This window comes from Homo sapiens, chromosome 18, assembly GCF_000001405.40.
Source record: "Homo sapiens chromosome 18, GRCh38.p14 Primary Assembly".
NCBI classification, from domain to species: Eukaryota; Metazoa; Chordata; class Mammalia; order Primates; family Hominidae; genus Homo; species Homo sapiens.
The window spans coordinates 14,476,624-14,498,721 of record NC_000018.10 but is presented as its reverse complement, the minus strand read 5'-3'; the positions used below and the strand labels follow the sequence as shown (position 1 = coordinate 14,498,721).

At 38.6% G+C, this 22,098-nt stretch overlaps 2 pseudogenes across 1 annotated transcript; one reads left to right on the top strand and one right to left on the bottom strand.

Annotated features, from left to right (window-relative positions):
• CXADRP3 (CXADR pseudogene 3) lies at positions 1–20,770 on the top strand (annotated as a pseudogene). The gene is made up of 3 exons (NR_024076.2): positions 1–130; positions 8,142–8,197; positions 19,329–20,770. The product of NR_024076.2 is annotated as a CXADR pseudogene 3 (transcript).
• Positions 11,228–12,918, bottom strand: GRAMD4P7 (GRAM domain containing 4 pseudogene 7; annotated as a pseudogene).
• Positions 20,771–22,098: the final 1,328 nt, after the last annotated feature.

Sequence of the window (22,098 nt, the reverse complement as noted above, 5' to 3'; positions counted from 1 at the left end):
GATTCTCAGTGTGGAGTCATTTGATTATTAAGACCCATTGACATGAGATTACATCCTCTGCCTATAAAAATCCTGGAAGAAAACCTAGGAAATATTCATCTGGACATTGCACTTGGCAATGAATTTATGGGTAAGTCCTCAAAAGCAATTGCCAGAAAAATGAAAATTGACAAGTATGATTTAATTAAACTAAAGAGCTTCTTCTACACAGCATGAGAAACTCTCAAGGGATTGAACAGACAGCTACAGAATGGAAGAAAATATTCACACACTATGCATACAGCAAAGGCCTATTATCCAGAAGCCATAAGAGACTTAGGCAAATCAACGAGCAAAAAATAAATAACCCCATTAAAAAATGGGCAAAGAACGTGAACAGACAGTTTTCAGAAGAACACATATGTGGCCAACAAACATATTAACACATGCATACCATCACTAATCATCAGAGAAATGCAAAACAAAACATCAGTGAAATACCATCTCACACCAGTTAGAATGACTTCTGTTAAAAAGGAAAAATAATAAAAATATTTAAATATTTAATATTAAAATGTCATTTAGATTGAGATAAATTAATTTGTCATTATCATTAATTCTCAAAACATGGATATTTAAGAATAACCTTACTTCACATGTAATAACACAACAACTACCTTAAAAACTAAAAGCTGGGGCCTGGTATGGTGTCTCAAGTCTGTAATCCCAGCACTTTGGGAAGCCGAGGTGGGCCGATCATGAGGCCAGGAGTTTGAGACAAGCCTGGCCAACATGGTGAAACCCCGTCTCTACTAAAAATACAAAAATTAGCTGGGCATGGTGGTGGGCACCTGTAATCCCAGCTACTCAGGAGGCTGAGGCAGGAGAATCATTGGAACCCTGGGAGGCGGAGGTGGTTGCAGTGAGCTGAGATCACACCATTGCACTGCAGCCTGGGCAACAGGGCGAGACTCCATCTCAAAAAAAATAAATAAAAGTAAATGAATAAAAACAAAAGCTGGAAGTTCTATGAAAACAATGCACATACCATTTTTAAAAAATGTTCATGGTTTTTCTAGAGATTTCAATACCTATCCTAGCTTATTACAGTAACCTATAATTTGTACTATACCAACTATGGTATAAAAACCTTAAAATGTATATTTCTGTTTCCTCTCTCCTTTATACTATTTATGTCATGCATTATAGTCTCAAATATTATGAATTCCATAATATAAAGTTACTCTTTTTTTAAAAAATTAGACAATTATCTTTAGAGCAATGTAAAATAATTGGGTTATATATCTTTATATCTTCTCTGGCATTATTTATTTCTTTGTGTAGTTTCAACTTTCACCTGCTTCCATATTCCTTTTGCCTCAAGAAATGATTTTGACATTTATTTTAGTGCATACCTGTTAGCAAGGGACTCTTCCAGTGTTAATCTGCAAATGTCATTTAATTGATATTTTTGCTGTATTACAGTTAATGGATATAAGATTGGGGGTTGACTTTTCTTCAGTTATTTAAGAATTCTGTATCATTGGTTTCTGACTTGTAGAGTTACTGACAAGCAGTTCATTATAATGTTTGTTTCTGTTTATCTCTCTACACAGTGTTCCTATTTTTTCTGTGACTGAATTCAAGATTTATGCTAATCATTGGTTTTCAGCAGTTTGACTAGTGTGATTATTCTAGCGTTCTTTAAATTTTGTATTAATCTTTCTTGGATATTTTGAGGTTATTTGGTCTCCTTAGTCATCTTTTTCAAATTTTTCTTCTCTCACATTCTGTTTTTACTCTCCTTCTGTAATTCCAATTAATTGTATTTTAGTTAATTTCATATTACCAGAGAATTCTTGGATTCACTGGAGTATTTTATTTGCTTGGTTTATTGGTTTATTTGGTTTTTCTCTTTCCTCCCTTTGTGCTACCATTCAAATGATTTGTATTGACCTAGTATAAAATTTACTGCTTCTTTCTTTAACTCTGATGACCAGTCTGCTAATCAGCTTGCTGATGTAATTCTTCATCTCTGTTCTCATGCTTTCACTTATTTCTAGATTTTGCCTTTTACTGTTCCCATCTTTGCTGAAATTCCTCATTTTTCCATACATGTTGTCTTTTTTTAACTAGATCCTTTAACATTTTGATCATTATTATTTTAAATTACTTGCATTTAGTTCCAACATCTGAATTATCTCTGAATTTGATTCTGTTGACTTTTTACCCTTTGAAAATATTATAACTCATAACTCAAATTTCTAACTTGCTTTTATGTCTCCCAATTTCTAAAAAATGCAAATCATCTGATGTAGAAAAACAGTAGATCATGAGATAATTATTTATGTCGAGATTGTTTTATATTTCTGTTTCATTTTTATGTCATGCTATTAGTGTGGGCAGGAACAAAGGTTGCTTTTTGCTGCGGTGTCTGAAACATTCAGTGACCAATGTAACTCAGATTTCTCCAGCAGTAGGCTGCTATATGATGTGCCTTGTGTGGGGCCTTAGACTCTGGAGAGCATATGCCAATGATCCTGTTCCACAGTTAGCTTTCGGTAGTCCTTACAACCTATGTTATAGAGAGGGTCTCTCTCCACTTTCTTGTTCCTCTCTAACTGTAGAACATCATTGTGTGTGTGTGTGTGTGTGTGTGTGTGTGTGTGTGTGTGTGTGTGACTAGGCAAAAAATTAAGGTTGGTGACAGAGGGATGATTCATGTTATTTTTGAGCCAGTTTCATCATTGGACACTCACAGAAGGGGTATTTTTAGCACTTCTTGACTCTTATTCTAGTGGGAGTCAAACTGTCACTTACCTGTGTTGTTTTTTGCAGAAGAAATAATAGCTTACCCTCCTCCCACCTCAGTAGTAGAAAACCTCTGATTTATATCATTGCAAGTTTTCAACCCCACAATAAGGACAAACTCTTTTATTTTTCCTTCCATAGGAACAATGTACCTTTGTCTGTGGTCACTGGATGGAGACTTTCCAAACCTTTACCACAGTAGCACGACTCTGCATTAGTGCAAAATCCTGGGCCCCAAAACAATCCTTGTTCCTCTCCTGATGGAGGAGTATTTTTCTTGCATCCCTCTCCCAGAAGCAGTGATCCTTTGCCTGGTGTCAGGTAGGGTAGGGTAGGGTATGAGAGGTTTCTTAACCTTCTCTGAAAGCTGATGTGTTTTGCTTCTTCTTATCTCCCAGAAACAGTAGACTTTTGCATGGGTTCATGGACCCAGATGCTTTTTTGCCACAGAAAATTAAGGGTTTTGATTCTTAGGAGAGAAGCAAATGTTCATGTAGTCAATTTTTTTCTTATTTATTTTTTGCTTTGTTTTCTTATTTCAGTAATGATGAGTTCAATATGATCATTATTTTCCACTTACACTGCTTGCAACTCTAATATTTTGTTTTTGTTAGTCCCCCTTTGACAGTTCAGCACTAAATCAAATGCAGAAAATCATCAGTTGTGTGAATAAAGTGTTTTTAATTGAGAACAAAATTGTTGATATAGACACAAATTTGGATATTATCCTACTTAGCACAATATGTCGCTGGTTCAAAATGTAAAAACCTCTTTAGGCTGAACAAAGAATGGTTCTTGGAACTATTGTCCCTTTTTGACAAATAAAATAAAACCCAATGCTTTTTATCTCATGGATAGATTATTAAAATAACTACATACCTGATCTTCATTTTATGTTCTCTCTCTTCAAGATATTCCTTCAAAACTACTTTGACTGATTAGTCTCTTTTGAATTATGTTAGACTCTGTATTTTCTCCACAAGCTCATCAGGGTAAATCCTGCCTGTACATTTTTTATAAAAATTCTCTTTTTTTTTCAAATCTTAGTTGAGCTGAAAGATTTCCACCAAATGTCTCCTATGCCACAAAGCCTTATTTTACTTATCTCCCCTGTCCTCCTTCCTCAAGCTCATTTAGGAATATTTTAATTAAAACATTCATGCAATACTGTTTTTTTAAAAATCTGAACATATAGTATTTTCATTCTGAATACAAAATAGTGCTCTAATTTGAAAGCAAGTTTTAGAAACAAATGTTTCGAGAAGGAGAATCAACAGTGTCATAAATATCATAATCCAATTTTCCTGTTTGTACTAAAACATTAGCAAATATTTATTGAGAAATTGCCATCTGCCTGAAAGTATAATGCTTTTGATGCACATTATATCATAAAAACTAGGTACTATTATTAGTAGTATCTTAAGAGTAAAAATATCAAGTCTTAGAGAAGTTAAGCAATGTGCCCAAATAGCATAGGGAAAGTTGGAATTCTGAAATTCTGACTATGCTGTGCGTAGGTTAGGAGAATCAAGGCTTGTCAAATGTAACTGTTAAGTCATTGTGGGGATACGGAGGCCTCTGATTGCTAGGGTCAATACACTTAAGCAGATCATGTCACTACTTAGTTAAATCTATTTCATTAAAGCAAAATTCCATAAAGATTATTGGCACCAAAACTATTAATTTTCCTTCCTTCCTTTCTCTCCTTCCTTCCTTCCTTCTTTCCTTCCTTGTCTTTCTGTCTTTCTTTGAGACAGGGTCTCATTGTGTTGCCCAAGCTGGAGTGCAGTGGCACAATCATGGCTCACTGCAGCCCCAGCTTCCCCAGACTCCGGTGATCCTCCCACCTCATCCTCCTGAGTAGCTGGGACTACAGGCAGGCAAGCCACTACGCGCGGCTAAATTTTCTTTTTCTTTTTCTTTTTTTTTTTTTTTGTAAAGATTGGGCTTCACCATGTTGCCGAGCCTGGTCTGCAACTACTCAGCTCAAGCAATCCACCTGCCTTTGCCTCCCAAAGTATTGGGATTCCAGGTGTAAGCCACATGCCTGGCCAAAAATATTATTTAACAAGTTCAATTTAACTATTAGATTTTGGACAATGAGGGATAGAATTTTCTACATCATAAATCATCTTGTGTTCTTTATTTAAAGTAATATGTAAGGATTTCAATTCGATTCAAATATATTTATTAGCAAATTAAATGTCTTTTTCAGGATTCCAAACTTTTGTTGAAGACATAAATGTTAAATGATGTCACTAATTTTAATTAGATTAGCAGAAAGGTACTCTGGTGTTTAATAACAGTGACAGAATGGGCTATTAATTTTATTTTCTTTCCCTTTCTCCCTTTCCCCTTTTTAAAATATTTTACTTTTTAGGCTCTTTGGAATCCTGTAGATAGAGTTTTGGAGAATTAGACAAAACACTCACAGAAACTGCCAACCCTTGGATGAAATATATTGTTACTGTGCTTTGGGATTAAAATAAGTAACTACAGTTTATAGAACTTTTATACTGATACACAGACACTAAAAAGGGAAAGGGTTTGGATGAGAAGCTCTGCTGTGCAACCAGGAATCTCAGCCACTCATTTCTGTCGGAGCTGCAGGAGCTCCCTGTAAAGAGAGGTTATGGAGTCTGTAGCTTCAGGAAAGATACTTAAAACCCTTCAGAGTTTCTCCATTTTTCCCAGAGTTTCCCCAAAAAGGTTATGACATTTTATAAGAATGCTTCACTTGTGAAAAACTAATATCAAAGTCTTCTTGTAATTTATATTTAAGGATAAATCTTTATCCCATGTTTAATTTATTTAGCTTACCCTGTAGCTAATATTTCATGCTGAACACATTTTAAATGCTGTAAATGTAGATAATATAATTTATGGATCATTAATGCCGCTCTAGTAGTTTAGAGAAAATGTCAAAAGAAATGGCGCCAGAATAAGCTTCTTGATTTGTAAAATTCTATGTCATTGACTCAAGTTTGTATGTCATCTCAAAATATAAATGTAGACATCTCAGAAAATATATTTGAAATAGCAAATTCCTGTTAGAAAAGAATAGTACTTAACTAGATAAGAATAACAAGTCACCATTATTTGAATTGTCTCCTATTAATTTTTGTTGTGTTGTGTTACTCATGTTTTACTTATGGGGGATATACATAACTTCTGCTGTTTTCAGAATTATTGTATGCAGTCAGTATGAGAATGCAATTTAAGTTTCCTTGATGCTTTCTCACACCTCTATTACTAGAAATAAGAATACAGTAATATTGGCAAAGAAAATTGACCAGTTCAATAAAATTTTTTAGTAAATCTGATTGAAAATAAACATTGCTTATGGCTTTCTTACATCAATATTGTTATGTCTTAGACTACCTTATCTGAAATTAAGGCTTTGAAATTCTAATTATGTGCAAATGTGTAAAATATCATCACCTAACGCTATATAATATATTCTATTTCTATACTGTGATGGCAGGTTTATAATTCTGGAAAGATATACACAACATAAAATTTACCTTTTTAATCACTTTAAGTGCACAGTTTTGTGGCATTAAGTATATTTGCACTATTGTGCAACAGTCACCACCATAGACCTCCAAAACTTGTCTTCTTCTCCAACTAAAATGCTTTACTCATTGAACACCAACTTCCCATTCCTCTCCCTCTCCTTCCCCCTAGCAATCACCATTCTATTTCTGTCTCTACAAATTTCACTAAGTAACTCATAGAAGTGGCATGATAGAATGTTTGAATTTTTCTGACTGGCTTATTTCACTTAGCATGTCTTCAAGTTTCAACTATTTTGTAGCATGTGTGAGAATATATTTTAAGGCTGAATATTATTATGTTGCCGTATATACCACATTTTGTTTAACCACTCATCCATCAATATTCACATGGGCTGCTCCCTCCCTTTGATTATTGTGAATAATATTGCTAATGGACACACTGCACAAACATCTGTTTGGTCCCTCCGCTCATTTATTTTGGATATGGATTTGCATTTTAATACAAAGGAGAAATTACACAGCTTTTTAAAAGTGTCCAGATAAAAAGGAGCACAACATCAGTAAAATATTAGAAAGTAGATTGGGGGAAAAACAGGGAAGGAATTGAACCAAAAGTCAATAAGCTGCATAACAGAGTTTCAAGAGGAGGAAAAAATTGACAATATTAACATAGAATTAAAGAGCGATAGGTAGATATTTAGAAAATTGTCGCATGTACTCATATGTCGCCTGTGAACTGATATTTACATTATTTTATTATTCCAGGTTTCCAAAAGTAAGTGCAATATGAGAGTTTCATGATGCGAAATAAACTGAAACATGCTATATATTTTGATATATTGTCCTTGAGAGGAGGCTGAGTGGTAATTAGTGCAATTTTAAATTATGATATGATAATGCAGTCAATCTGCCAAACTGACAAACAGTATATATACAATATACATTTCTCACAAAATTCAGTTTTATCATACAATTAAATTATGATTTGAAACTACCTGACAATTAATGGAGGAAAAAATAAAACAACATTTGCATTAATATTACCATAATTTTGATATTATTGTAAATATCAAAATATGTACTTAGAGATAAACCAGCAAAAAAGAGAAACATTTGAAAACTACAAAACTACAAAATATTGCTAAAATAAATGAGACCTAAATAAATGGAATTTATGAGTCATAAATCTCAATATTGTTAAGATGTCTACTCTTCCCACATTGATCTATAAGAATTCCAATCAAATCACAGCTGGATTTCTTATTTTAGAAATTGAGAAACTAAAATTCTGAAATGTACATCGATGGGTAGAGGACCTATAATGGCAAATTACTTTGAAAGGAAACAGTTACTTTGAAACCAGGTGCTGCTGGAGAATCAAGAGCACCTGGATTCAAGACTTAGAACGTTACAGTAATACTTAAGACAATGTAGTACAAATATAGATATACACATGTATATCAGCTATCAGCTAATTTTTGATGAAGTTCTTAGACCATTCATGGACATAACATTTTCAACAAATGCTTCTGAAACAATTAGATATCCCAGTATATATTTGTGTGTATGTGTGAAGCTCAATACTTCACACCTGAGAGGTATGAGTGTGCATTACAAAAGAGAACTAGGAAGCTTTGAGAGTATTGGATATGCTCATTGTCCCCTTCATGGTGATTGTTTAATGGGCACATGTACATATCAAATTCATCTCATTTACACTTTAAATATTGGAAGTGTGTTTTATGTTCATTAGACATGAATAAAGCTGCAAAATGTTACCAAATATTCACTTACTATGCTTTTATTCATTTTCCTCTCTCTATAAACCTTCAGATAGAAAATGCAGTTGAAAGATATTTCATAAAGGAAGAAAAGAAGTATGAATACAGGTGAGAGATATTACTGAGATTTTTTTTCAGTGCAATCCTGGTCTTTTCTGACTAGCAATATTTTTATGTGCAGAAGTAGTAGAAAAGATAAATATTTTGTACAGTAGAAAAACACATTATTTCTGTGCCATGGAAGAGAGAACTCACAAAGATGACAGCTTCTGGCTATGTTGGATACTAACCAGTACTGTAAGTACCCAACGATCTGACTTTAACACTGGCTGTAAAGCTCCTTTAATGTTCCTTGCAAGGATTTGAACCTATTTACTGGAACCCTCATCGCTTATTGAGTTGAAAAACATTGTTGATATGTGTTTATCTTATATTTGCAGTAGAGTCATAATTTTACTTTTTAGAAAATTATACATTAAACAAAAAAAGACACATGAAATTGTATATTGTTTAATGTTTCAACTGTGATATCACTCCATATGCATATTTAAATGCCTATTTGATAAAGGATAGGAAATACAGAAAGAATTCTTGTGATAATAGAGAACACAGAACTGTTGAAAGGTGTTGAAGCTGAGCTGGAGACAGTCACCAAGGCTGGCGCCAAAGATGGCAAGGTCGGAGGGTTTCCTGCCTGGGCGGCACAGCTTGAGCTCGCCCTGCGTCACGAGTGGTGGAAACTGCAGACCCAGCTGGGCCCCGAGGTCTCTGCCTCAGCCTCCCGCCCGCTAGGAGCTGCGCTGAGGTCCCAGATAGGCGACCCTGGCGGGGTGCCCCTGAGCGAAGGCGGCCCATGTGTGGGACAGCAGCAGGACACCAGGGTCCAGGGACCCACCTCCCGCCGCGGGAACCTCGAGCCTCCCCTGGCACCCCTAGCTTGGTCCGCCTGGCCTCCGGAGCCCGGTGTGTATCCTGGTCATGGGGACGCCCACCAGGTGCCCGGGAGTCCCCCTCGGCCACAGCCTGCGGCTCCGCCGGCCCTCAAGCCCGGTGTGGGGACTCCAGCCCCGCCGCCTCTGCTCCCGCCAGGCCGGGACCTGTCCTCCTCCTGGGCGCCCGGCAGTAGGGGCGATGCACACTGCCCGCTGCCCTGCACAGCCTTTCGCCGCACATCCCCTCTCGCCCCTCCGCCCCGGGCCAGGACCTTCCTGGCCGCACAGAACCCACCTTCCTTCCCGCTGCAGAGCTGCTCCGCTTCCCCCACCCACAGGGAAAAACGGCCGATCTCCAACCAAACAGAAATCTGTGTGTGACTCCTCTGGTTGGATACTGCCAGTCCCCACATTTTCTTCCGGGAGTTTTCTTGGCAGAATGTGCCCAATGTTTGATGTTTCACCAGCGATGAGGCTGAAAAGTGACAGCAATAGAGAAACACATCAGGCTTTCCGCGACAAAGATGACCTTCCCTTCTTCAAAACTCAGCAATCTCCACGGCACACAAAGGACTTAGGACAAGATGACAGAGCTGGAGTGCTCGCCCCAAAATGCAGGCCCGGAGTGGGTCACCTCCTTAGGGCAGGCCCAGGCTTGTCCTGGCTGCCCGGGCGCCTTTCTCCTCACTCCCCAGGGGACCCCACAAACTCGGCTGTTGGGGCTCCCTGCGCCTCCCTCCACAGAAGCCACCTCCTGCCCTCCAAGCTGGGGGTCTCCTGGGGCGTCCTGGGCTGAGAGGGAAAGACGCCAGCTTCGCAAGCCGGGAAGGGAACACCGCCACATTGTTACACGGACACACCACCACACTGTCACATGTACAGACACACGGAGACATTACCACACGGACACACCGTCACATGGACACACTGGCACATTCACATGGACGGACACACAGACATACGGAGAAATCCACACGGACACACCACCACACTATCACAGGGACACACACACGGAGACATCACCACATGGACACACCACCACACTATCACAGGGACACACAGACACACAAGAGACATCACTGTCACATGGACACACCATCACACGAACACACAAACACACTGCCACATGGACACTGCCACACACAGACACACCGCCACACTGTCACATGGACACACCTCCACACTGTCAGACACCACCACACAGACACTGCCATGTGGACACAAGGACACACAGACATTGTCACATGGATACACAAACACATTGTCACACGGAGACATCACCATGCAGATACATGAACACACCACCACATGGACATAGCACCACACAGCCACTCTGCCACACGGACACACCACTACACAGACACACCACCACGCTGCCACACAGAGACACCACCACATCGTTGCCACATTTTCATGTGTCAGCTGGCGGTGTGGGCCCCACGACTCTGGGCTCTAATAGAGAAATTACTTAGGCATATAGTGAAGGCAAAATTTTTTTTTTCTGAGGCGTAGTCTCGCTCTGTCCCCCAGGCTGGACTGCAGTGGCGCGATCTCGGCTCACTGCAAGCTCCGCCTCCCGGGTTCACGCCACTCTCCCGCCTCAGCCTCCCGAGTAGCTGGGACTACAGGAGCCCGCCACCAAGCCCGGCCGCCTTTTGGGTGTTTTTAGTACAGACGGGGTTTCACCTTGCTAGCCAGGATGGTCTCGATCTCCTGCCCTCGTGATCTGCCCGCCTTGGCCTCCCAAAGTGCTGGGACTACAGGTGTGAGCCACCGCGCCTGGCCAAGAATTTCTTTCCATCTCGTGTCATTGCTTTGGCAGTGGAAATGCGCGTGGCCTCTAGAGTGGGTCCCAAGGTCATGAAGGCCTGTAAGGTGGAGGGCAAGGTCTCTCTTTCCAGGCTGGAATGGAGGAAGATGTGGTGGCTGAGGGGCTGCATGTCCTCCTCGCGGCAGGCCCCTGAGGACCTTTATCCTCCTGAGCCGCGAATGTCCCTCAGGGGTGTCTAAAGCGCTGGGTGGGGCCCTTATAGGCCTTAGGAGCTCTGGCCAATTAGTGGTCCGTAAAACGCAGAGGTGAACACCATGGAACCACAGGTCCAGGAGAATTTTGCAAAAGCTCTGAGGATGCCCTTTTTTGTTCTCCCACTGCAAAGTTGTTTTAAAAAGCAAAAAATCCAGCAATGTCCGGGGAAAGTCAATACTGAGTGTCAGCGCGGGATGCTGCCGCTGATACGATCCCGGCGTCCTGGCCGAAAGTGGCCTCCTCGGGGACCGCATCTCCGCGCACCATGGCAACAAACGCCAGCGGTTTGTGGGCGGATGGTGTCCCTGTGGCCATCCCCGCTCCTGAGTGCGGAAGGACAGACAGGAGCGGGGACTTCTGGGTGTTCCTGGTGTCAGCCAGCTTGACGCCGTTGTTCCTCCTGGAAATCCGGGATTTGGAGAAGCACCTGCTTCCTGATGGAGGCCGTGGGCCTCTTGGTCCCCGCTTACCAGGCAGCGGCGCCAGCCTAGTTCTCAGCCCCGCCCCCGATGGGCGCCGCCTTCCATCAGGCCAAAGACTTTCCTCCAAACTGCCCTTCTTGGGGCGGGGAAGCAGCATCCTGGGCCTCCCCTGGGGCCTGTGGCGCTGGCAGCAGCTCCACGTTGAGGTCGCCTGCAGCCCGCACCGCGGAGCGCTGGAGGTCCCTGAGCCCGGTCTGGGGAGGCCAATCCGCAGGTGCCTGGTGCCCGGTGCCTGCCGCAGTCTCAAAAGCGCCTGGAGGTGACATCCAGGAGCACCACTGCACCACCCGCAGGGAGACCCACGGCGAGGCGCGCCCCCTAAAGCGGCCAAGGAAGAAGCAGAAGGATAGGAAGGCACCCAGAGCTTGGGGTGATCTCAGGCCGCGCGCCCCGACCAAGTTCCTGCTCTCTGGGAGGTTTTTTTTAAATTTCTTCCATATTATTATCTTTATTATTATTAACTTTTCAAGATGGATTAAAGACTTAAATGTTAGACCTAAAACCATAAAAACCCTAGAAGAAAACCTAGGCAATACCATTCAGGACATAGGCATGGGCAAGGACTTCATGTCTAAATCACCAAAAGCAATGGCAACAAAAGCCAAAATTGACAAATGGGATCTAACTAAACTAAAGAGCTTCTGCACAGCAAAAGAAACTACCATCAGAGTGAACAGGCAACTTACAGAATGGGAGAAAAATTTTGCAATCTACCCATCTGACAACGGGCTAATATCCAGAATCTACAAAGAACTTAAACAAATATACAAGAAAAAATCAAACAATCCCATCAAAAAGTGGGGGAAGGATATGAACAGATACTTCTCAGAAGAAGACATTTATGCAGCCAACAGACACATGAAAAAATGTTCATCATCACTGGCCATCAGAGAAATGCAAATCAAAACCACAATCCGGGAGGTCTTGCCAAAGACGATGTGGGCTTTCTGGGCAATGTCCGGCCTGAGCTGGAGATTCTGGGACGCGGTCAAGTGGTCCTTTGGAGATTCCACGGCTTCGGATCCCTACTGCAGGATGCTCCGCTGTGTCTGCCAGCCTCTGGCGTTTTGCTGAGGGGTAACCTCGGAATGTATAGACATAAGAACACTGGGATGGCCCAGTCGTGCCCCAGGCATTCCCGCACACAGTGGTGGCAAAGGCAGGCGCTCAGACAAAGTGCCCAGTCGGCTTGGTGAGAGTTTTTTACAGGTTAGTGACAGACTTGGTCCCGTGCTTGTGTTTTCTCATGTTTTCAGTTAACCTGCGGACGCCCAGGGGCTCCTCCATCTCCACCCTGTTCTCCTCGGGCTGAAGCCCAAAGTCCCCCATTTTCTCCTCAAATGGCTCACAGAGCCACTTCTGCAGGCAGGAAGACAGGGGTGGGCTCAGTGGCTGACCTGGGAAGCCACATCTGAAGGAACTGCTGGGTGACTATGGCCATAAGTCAATCAAAGCAGACTCCCTGGCTTGCTGCGCTACATTGATTTTGTTTTCATTTTTTAAAAGACGCAGAAGGGAGGTCCTAGGAAATTTGCCTGCAACAATAAAAGTTTTTGTCAATATAACATAACACATAGGCAAAATATTGTTTCCAAGTGATTGATGATGTGGTGCCTTCAGTCTAGTCCCAACCCCTCAATGTAATCATCCCTAAATCTAATGAAATATGAAATATGAAAAAGATTACCCAGAAGGAAAACAAGAGCTATTTTCTAAACATCTGAAATCTGTATAGGCTTTTGGAAAAGTGAAACTAGATGCAAAGCACAATGATATAATTCTGGCAAGTTGATTTCATTCTTCTGCATATGGATATCCAGTTTTTTCAACATCATTTCCCACCAGTGTATGTTCTTGGCACCTTTGTCAAAAATGAGTTCACTGTAGGTATGTAGATTTGTTACTGGGTTCTCTATTGTGTTCCATTGATCTATGGGTCTCTTTTTATGCCAGTACCCTACTCTTTTGGTTACTATAATTCTGTAGTATAATATGAAGTCAGATAATATAATTCCTCCACTTTTATTTATTTATTTATTTTTGCTTAGGATAGTATTATTTCTTATACTGAAAGCATTCTATGTTATTTATTATTAGGCTAATTTTGTAGTTTTACAATGCTATCCTCTTTTACAAAGCTGTGATCAACTCAAAGTCCAGATCAGGGTCAATTGTAGCTATTTGCAAAAGTAGCAATATTCTGGCCGGGTGTGGTGGCTCATGCCTATAATCCCAGCACTTTGGGAGGCCAAGACAGGCAGGTCACCTGAGGTCAGAGGTTCAAGACCAGCCTGGCCAATATGGTGAAACCCTGTCTCCAATAAAAATACAAAAATTAGCCGGGGATGATGGCAGATGCCTGTAATCCCAGCTACTCAGGAGGCTGAGGCAGGAAAATCACTTGAACCTGTGAGGTGGAGGTTGCAGTGAGCCCAGAATGCACCATTGCACTCCAGCCTGGGTAACCAAGTGTGACTCTGTCTCAAAAAAGAAAAAAAAGCACTATACTGTGTAATTATTGACAGCATAATTCACTATTATGTGGATCAGAGAGCAGAGGATTCTGAATGCATGAACATATCTTTAACATTTCAATACATTACTCATAATTACTAATGAACTAAAGAGAAACCAAGAAATTATGGTGGTAGTTATATTGACCTGGAGAAATGTAGACACTAAAGAATGGTAAGATGAGAAATGTGTTAACACAGGCTATAAGGGCATGCAAGAATAAAAATAGGGGAGAAAACAGGAGAGTTTTTCAAGACCTTTCTGGTCATGTAAGTAAATTTGTTATCGGTTAATTTTTAAAAGGTTTATTTTCATGCAATAAACTGCACGTACTTCAATTGTACATTTTGATAATTCTTGGTATTTGTAGCTCTACAAAACCAACAACATATTAAAATAGCAAACATATCCATTACCTTTACCACCAAAGTTTCCTTGTGCTTTTTCTACTCACTTTTTCCTGCCTATCCCCATTCCATCCACAGGCAACCACTGATCCACTTCCAGTCACTATCCATGAGTTTTTATTTCCAAACACATAAAATCATAGGGTATGTATACTTTCTGGTCACTCAGCATCACTATTTTTGAGATTTATTCATGTTGCTACATCTATCAATTGTTCTGTTCTTACTAGGGAGTATTATTTCATTATATACAGATACCATAGTAAGTTTATAAGTCACAAATTCACCTGTCCATGGATATTTGGACTGTTTTCAGGTTTTGGCTGTTGCAAGTAAAGCTGCTGTGAAGATTCATGTAAAATCCTTTGAATGGGCATATGCTCTTAGGTTTTCATCTCTACCGGAAGTGGAATAGATAGCTATATGGCTATCATGTCTGTAATATGCAAACACAAAGCCTGACAAAACTGATTTCTAAAGTGGAAATTCCACTGAAGAACCTTGACTCCAACCTGACTTTTGAGATTATCTCCTATGTCTGGTGCAATGATTGGTCCTGGGGTAGCCACATGACCCAAGGGGGACCATGTTTAAACTTCTGAGTTTTCACTGAGATTAACATGCATTTGTTGAAAGAGAAACCCCTTTTCCCCTACTCCCCCAGCTGCAAATGCTTTCAGGGATTACATCATGTTGGAACATTTGGTTACAGTGTTTCCTAAACTTTGAGGGTAAAAATTGTTGAAGTAGGTAAAAATGGAGCACATACAAAGAAAAAAGGAGTCCAGAAATATCAAATAAAGAAAGGGCCTCCATAAAATCATTTGAACTTATGATTAATTCATTAGTCATTAAAATAAGTTTAGTGTACAAAGAATCATCCCCCCAACCACCCTTTATTCCTTCACCAGGTTTAAGTTACATTTTTTAACTTGCAAACAAAAGATTTGTCATTAACTTAGACATCAAAATCCCTTGTCTCCAAGAGCAATCATTCAACTCTGTCCCTCTCATTATTACAATAATATGTTCACTTTATTCTGCATACACCTGCTCTTTGCCCTTGTCTCCCTATTCTATTCTGTTAAAGTTATATCCAGACATTTATTTCATTTTATATCAAAGAAACTGTATACATGTTTTTAATCTTAGAAAAATTTCTGAGTAATCTTTTGTCTCATATTTGATTTTAAGCCACCCAAGAAGCATTATTTTTTCATTTAGCATTTTAACTTTTCTAACCCAGGACTTTTGTAGTAGACATTATGTCTTTTTCTAAATGTCCTGCTTCAATTTACATTTTAAATCTAATTTTTAAAAAGTGTATGTTTTGAATATTAGCATTATGCATCTCAGGCCTAAATATCCCTTGATAGCAAATATTGTCTTTTTTTCTCTACATTTTTCACATATTTCAATAGGGAGCTATATTGCCTGCAACAATAAAAGTTTTTGTCAATATAACATAACACATAGGCAAAATATTGTTTCCAAGTGATTGATGATGTGGTGCCTTCAGTCTAGTCCCAACCCCTCAATGTAATCATCCCTAAATCTAATGAAATATGAAATAAATATTTCATTTTGTTTCTAAAATTCAGCAGAAAAATATATAGCCTGTCACATATAGCCTGTAACACCAACATATAAAAATTAAAGCAGTTCCTTCTCCACTCCCACTGCTTCACTTGACTAGCCTTAAAAAATAATAATAATAAATAAAAGCAAAATTGTTCCTTTACTTATCTTTGAAATCTAATGGATATACTATCAGAAAATCTCTTATATATATGGAGGGCCTCTATAAAATATAGACTCTTAACTAGAAAAGTAGACTTATATGATAGTTAAATTTAAAACACAATTGTATATAGTACCTTCCCAAATGCACCAGTACTTATTTCAGAATGCATGATGTAATTGACTAAACCATTTAGGGCTAGACCTCTGAAAGAAAAGGCATTCACACTTTGTGATTCCTGGGGAAAATATTATTCAAAATAGAAACATGCAGAACCTTTACCTGATCGTGATAAAAAAATGTTCCTACTTGTTAATATGCCACAGCTTTTACAAGGTCAGCAAAAAGAGATTATCCCATAATATAAGCTGATGGCCAAAATTATCTGCCTTACTTTAGTTACCATAATATCTATTAAGTGTAAATTTCTTTTGAAAGAAAACAGATACATTTTTCTCAGAAATGTCTTTAGATGAAGATCTAGCACATCTGTGTTTCTCACTTTTTAAAATGTTGATTTTATTGATAAATAAATATATATAGGGTACAATGTGGTACGATACATGTAAATATTGTGAAATGGACAAATTAGGCTAAATAACGTATCCTTCACCTCAGATATTTATTACATTATGGTGAAACATTTAAAATGTACTATTTTAGCACTTTTAAGATATGCACTACATTATAAGTAACTGCAGTCACTTTGCTGTGCACCATATCACCAGAATGTCTTTCTCCTAACTGAAGCATTATCCCATTGAATATTTCCCCTTTTTCCACCCCTGCCCCCCACCCTGCTCAGCCTCTGATAAACCACCATTCCACTCTTAACTTCTATGAGTGCACAGTTTTGGATTTCACATATAAGTGATATTAAGAGATATTTGTCTTTCTGTGTCTGGCTTATTTTACTTAGCATAATGTCCTCTAAATCCATCCACGTTTTTGCAAATGACAGAATTTCATTCATTTATAAAGATAAGCAGTATTTTTGTATGCATCCTACATATACTTTTAACTTTCCACAGCTTTATTGAGATATAATTTATACATTGTGTAATTCACTCATTTAAAGTACAAACTTCAAATTCTTTTAGTATATTAACTGGATGGACAAATAATCATCATAATATAATTTTAGAACATTTTAATTCTCCTTAAAAGAGACTTGCGCCCATTAGCAATCTTTCCCCATTTTCTCCAGCCTTTTTTAAACCCCTCCTAGTCTAGGCAACCACTCGTCTACTTTCTGACTATGAATTTGCCTATTCTGGACATTTCACATAAATGGAATCATAATAACACATAGTCACTTTTTACTCACATCTTTCACTTAACGTATTTTTAATGTTCATCCGTTTTGGAGCATGCATTAACAGTTTTTTACCTTCTCTTGCTAAATAAGATTCTGTTTTATGGACACACCACATTTTATTTATCCACTCCTCAGCTGATGAACATTTCTGTTGTTTTCTACTTTGTGTTGCTATAAACATTTGTGTACTACTGTTTGTGTAGCATTTGTTTTATTTTCTTTTTGGTAAACACACAGAAGTGGAATTGCTGGGTCATGTGATAACTCTATGTTTAACCATTTGAAGAACTGCCAGACTGTTTTACATTTTAAAGTCTCACCAGTGGTGTAGAAGGGTTCCAATTTTTCCACATATTTTTATCTATTCTTCAGTTGATAAGCACTTAGGTTGTTTCTAATTCATGGGTATTATGAATAATGCTGCAACGAACATGAAATTGCAGATGTCTCTTTTTGACATACCGATTGAAATTCCTTTGGACATATATCCAGAAGTGGGATTGATGGATCATAGGGTAAATATAATTTCTTGAGGGAACTTCATACTGTTTTCCAAGATGGCTGTACTAATTTCCATTCCTACCAACAGTGTACAGGGTTTCTTTTTCTCCACATCCTCATCAACACTTATCTTCCATCTCTTTTTATAATAGCCTTAGTAAAATGTGTGAGGTGATATCTCATTGTGGCTTTGATTTGCATTTCTCTGATAATTAGAAATGTTTTTGATTTTTTCATGTACCTATTGGCCTTTTGTATGCCTTAGGAAATGTCTATTCTGGTTTTTTGCTTATTTTTTTTAATAAGCATAGTTTTATTCTTATTTTTGAGTAGGTTGAGTTACTTATATATTATTATATGAGCCCTTTATCTGATGTATGGTTTAAAAGTGTTATCCCATTTGTGGGTTCTCTTCATTCTATTATCGCTTCTTTTCCGTGGAAAAGCTTTTTAGTTTTATGCAATCTCATTCGTGTGTTTTTGCTTTTGTTGCCTGTGCTTTTGGAATAATCTACAGAAAATCATAGCTCAGGCCAATGTCATACAGTCTTCTTCTATATTTCTTTGTAGTAGTTTTACATTTAAGTCTTTAATTTTGATTTGATACTTGTATAAAGAGCAAAAGGAAAGTCAAATTTTATTCTTCTGTATGTGGATATTCAGTTTTTTCTACCCCATTTATTGAAAATAATTTTCTTTCTTCATTGTGTATTTTTAGTCATTTTATCAAAAAATCAATTGACCACAGACACACGGATTTATTTACGGGTTCTATATCCCTTTGCACTGTTCTACCTGTCTGTTTTTATGCCACTGCTATGTTGTTTTAATTACTATGGCTTTGTAATATAGTTTGGAATTGGGTAGTCTGATACCTCCAGCTTTGTTCTTTTTGTTCAAGATTGCTTTGGTTAGTCGGGGTCTTTTGTGGTTCCATACAAATTTTAGCAGTAATTTTTCTATTTCGGGGAATTTGATAGTGGTTGCATTTAATCTGTAGATTGCTTTGGGTAGCATTGACACTTTTACAATACTAATTTTTGAATCCATCAGTAAAGGATGTTTCTCCATTTATTTATGCCATTTTAATTTTTTTCATCAATGTGCTATAGTTTTCAGTGTGCAAATATTTCACATTCTTGATTAAATTTACTCCTAAGTCTTTTATATATTTTTATATCTGTTTTGATTCTATTATAAATTGAATTGCCTTATTACTTTATTTTTCAGGTAATAGTTTGTCATTAGTGTATAGAAACAATAATGCTAGCTGTATGTTGATTTTGTAACTATTAACTTTATTGAATTTCTTTATCAGCTTTAACCATTTATTTTGGTGGAGTCTTTAAGATTTTCTCTATCTTGAGTGCGCGAGGCGCGGGGAGCCTAGGACCTGGAGCGAGAGCCGCCTACCTCAGCCGCCGCCCACGGCACGGCAGCCACCATGGCGCTCCTGCTGCGCTTCGTGCTCCTGTGCGGAGTCGCGGATTTCACCAGAAGTTTGAGTATCACTACTCCTGAGCAGATGATTGAAAAAGCCAAAGGGGAAACTACCTATCTGCCATGCAAATTTACGCTTAGTCCTGAAGACCAGGGACCACTGGACATCGAGTGGCTGATATCACCAGCTGATAATCAGAAGGTGGATCAAGTGATGATTTTATATTCTGGAAACAAAATTTATGATGATTACTATCCAGAACTGAAAGGCCGAGTACATTTTAAGAGTAATGATCTCAAATCTGGTGATGCATCAATAAATGTAACGAATTTACAGCTGTCAGATATTGGCACAGATCAGTGCAAAGTGAAAAAAAGCTCCTGGTGTTGCAAATAAGAAGATTCAGCTGGTAGTTCTTGTTAAGCCTTCAGGTACAAGATGTTATGTTGATGGATCAGAAGAAATTGGAAGTGACTTTAAACTAAAATGTGAACCAAAAGAAGGTTCACTTCCATTACAGTATGAGTGGCAAAAATTGTCTGACTCACAGAAAATGCCCACTTCATGGTTAGCAGAAATGACTTCATCTGTTTATATCTGTAAAAAAATGCTTCTTCTGAGTACTCTGGGACATACAGCTGTACATCAGAAACGGAGTGGGCTCTGATCAGTGCCTGTTGCGTGTAAACGTTGTCCCTCCTTCAAATAAAGCTGGACTAATTGCAGGAGCCATTATAGGAACTTTGCTTGCTCTAGTGCTCATTGGTCTTATCATCTTTTGCTGTCGTAAAAAGCGCAGAGAAGAAAAATACGAAAAGTAAGTTCATCACGATATCAGGGAAGATGTGCCGCCTCCAAAGAGCCGTACGTCCGCTGCCAGAAGCTGCATAGGCAGTAATCATTCATCCCTGGAATCCATGTCTCCTTCCAACATGGAGGGATATTCCAAGACTCAGTATAAACAAGTACCGAGTGAAGACTTTGAACGCACTCCTCAGAGTCCAACTCTCCCACCTGCTAAGGTAGCTGCCCCTAATCTAAGTCGAATGGGCGTGATTCCTGTGATGATTCCCGCACAGAGCAAGGATGGGTCTATAGTATAGAGCCTCCATACGTCTCATCTGTGCTTTCCGTGTTCCTTTCCTTTTTTGATATATGAAAACCTATTCTGGTCTAAATTTTGTTACTAGCCTCAAAATGTATCCAAAAATAAGTTAATCAGGAGCTGTAAGGAATATATTTTTTAAAATTTTTCTTTGGTTATATCGAAATAGTTACAGGCATTAAAGTTAGTAAAGACAAGTTTACCATCTGAAAAAGCTGGATTTTCTTTAAGAGGTTGATTATAAAGGTTTCTAAATTTATCAGTACCTAAGTAAGATGTAGCACTTTGAATATGAAATCATAAGTGAAGACATTGGTGAACTTACTTGCATACCAAGTTGATACTTGAGTAACCATCTGAAAGTGGTACTTGATAATTTTTACCATTATTTTTAGGATGTGTATCTCATTTATTTATGGCCCACCAGTCTCCCCCAAATTAGTACAGAAACATCCATGACAAAATTACACATGTGTGTTTGTACTTGTTTTCACAGCTCCTTGGAAAACTCTGTGTTAGGAATATCTCTAAAAACATAGAAAACACTACAGTGGTTTAGAAATTACTAATTTTACTTCTAAGTCATTCATAAACCTTGTCTATGAAATGATTTCTTAAATATTTAGTTGATAGACTGCTACAGGTAATAGGGACTTAGCAAGCTCTTTTATATGCTAAAGGAGCATCTATCAGATTAAGTTAGAACATTTGCTGTCAGCCACATATTGAGATGACACTAGGTGTAATAGCAGGGATAGATTTTGCTGGTGAGTGGTCTCATGCCTTGAGATCTGTGGTGGTCTTTAAAATGGTGGCCAGCCAGATCAAGGATGTAGTATCTCATAGTTCCGGACTAAATACTGGCTTTCCACTTTAGGTGATATTTTTCTTATTAGAAAAATATTATAACTCATTTATTGTTTGACAATTATAGATTGAAATTTCCTAATTCTAAATTTTAAGTGGTTCTTCAGTTTCAGTGCTTTATGTTGTTTGTTGTTGGTTTGGCATGGCATTACATATTATATGTTCTAGAAACATGTAATCCTAAATTTACCCTCTTGAATATGATCCCTGGATGATATTTTTATCATAAATGCAGAATAATCAAATATATTTTAAGCAAGTAAGTGTCCTCCATCAGTTCTGTATTCCAGACATGGGAAGATGTACAGTTGCTGTTGTGTGATCAAGCATGTCTCTGTGTAGTTCCAGCAAATCAAGCTGAGCTTTGAAAAAGTTTGAGTCTTAGTTTTGTGAAAGTGGTTTATTCTCAAAAAAAAAAAAAAAAAGAAAAAGAAAAAGAAAAAAAGATAAGAAGAAGGAGTAAAGGGACTACTCCTTGCCAAATGTGCTAAATATCATTTTAGGAGAAGAAAGTGGATTTATTGTATTTCCCTTAAGATTGTGAGGGAGTGTGGATACAGTAGAATGAGCCAACAGTTTCTTTATAATAAATACGGTCTGCAATAAATTATTTCACTAGCTGTAAAACCTTTCCCTAGATTTTAGTAGGGAGTTGGTTTCTGTTAATATCTTTGG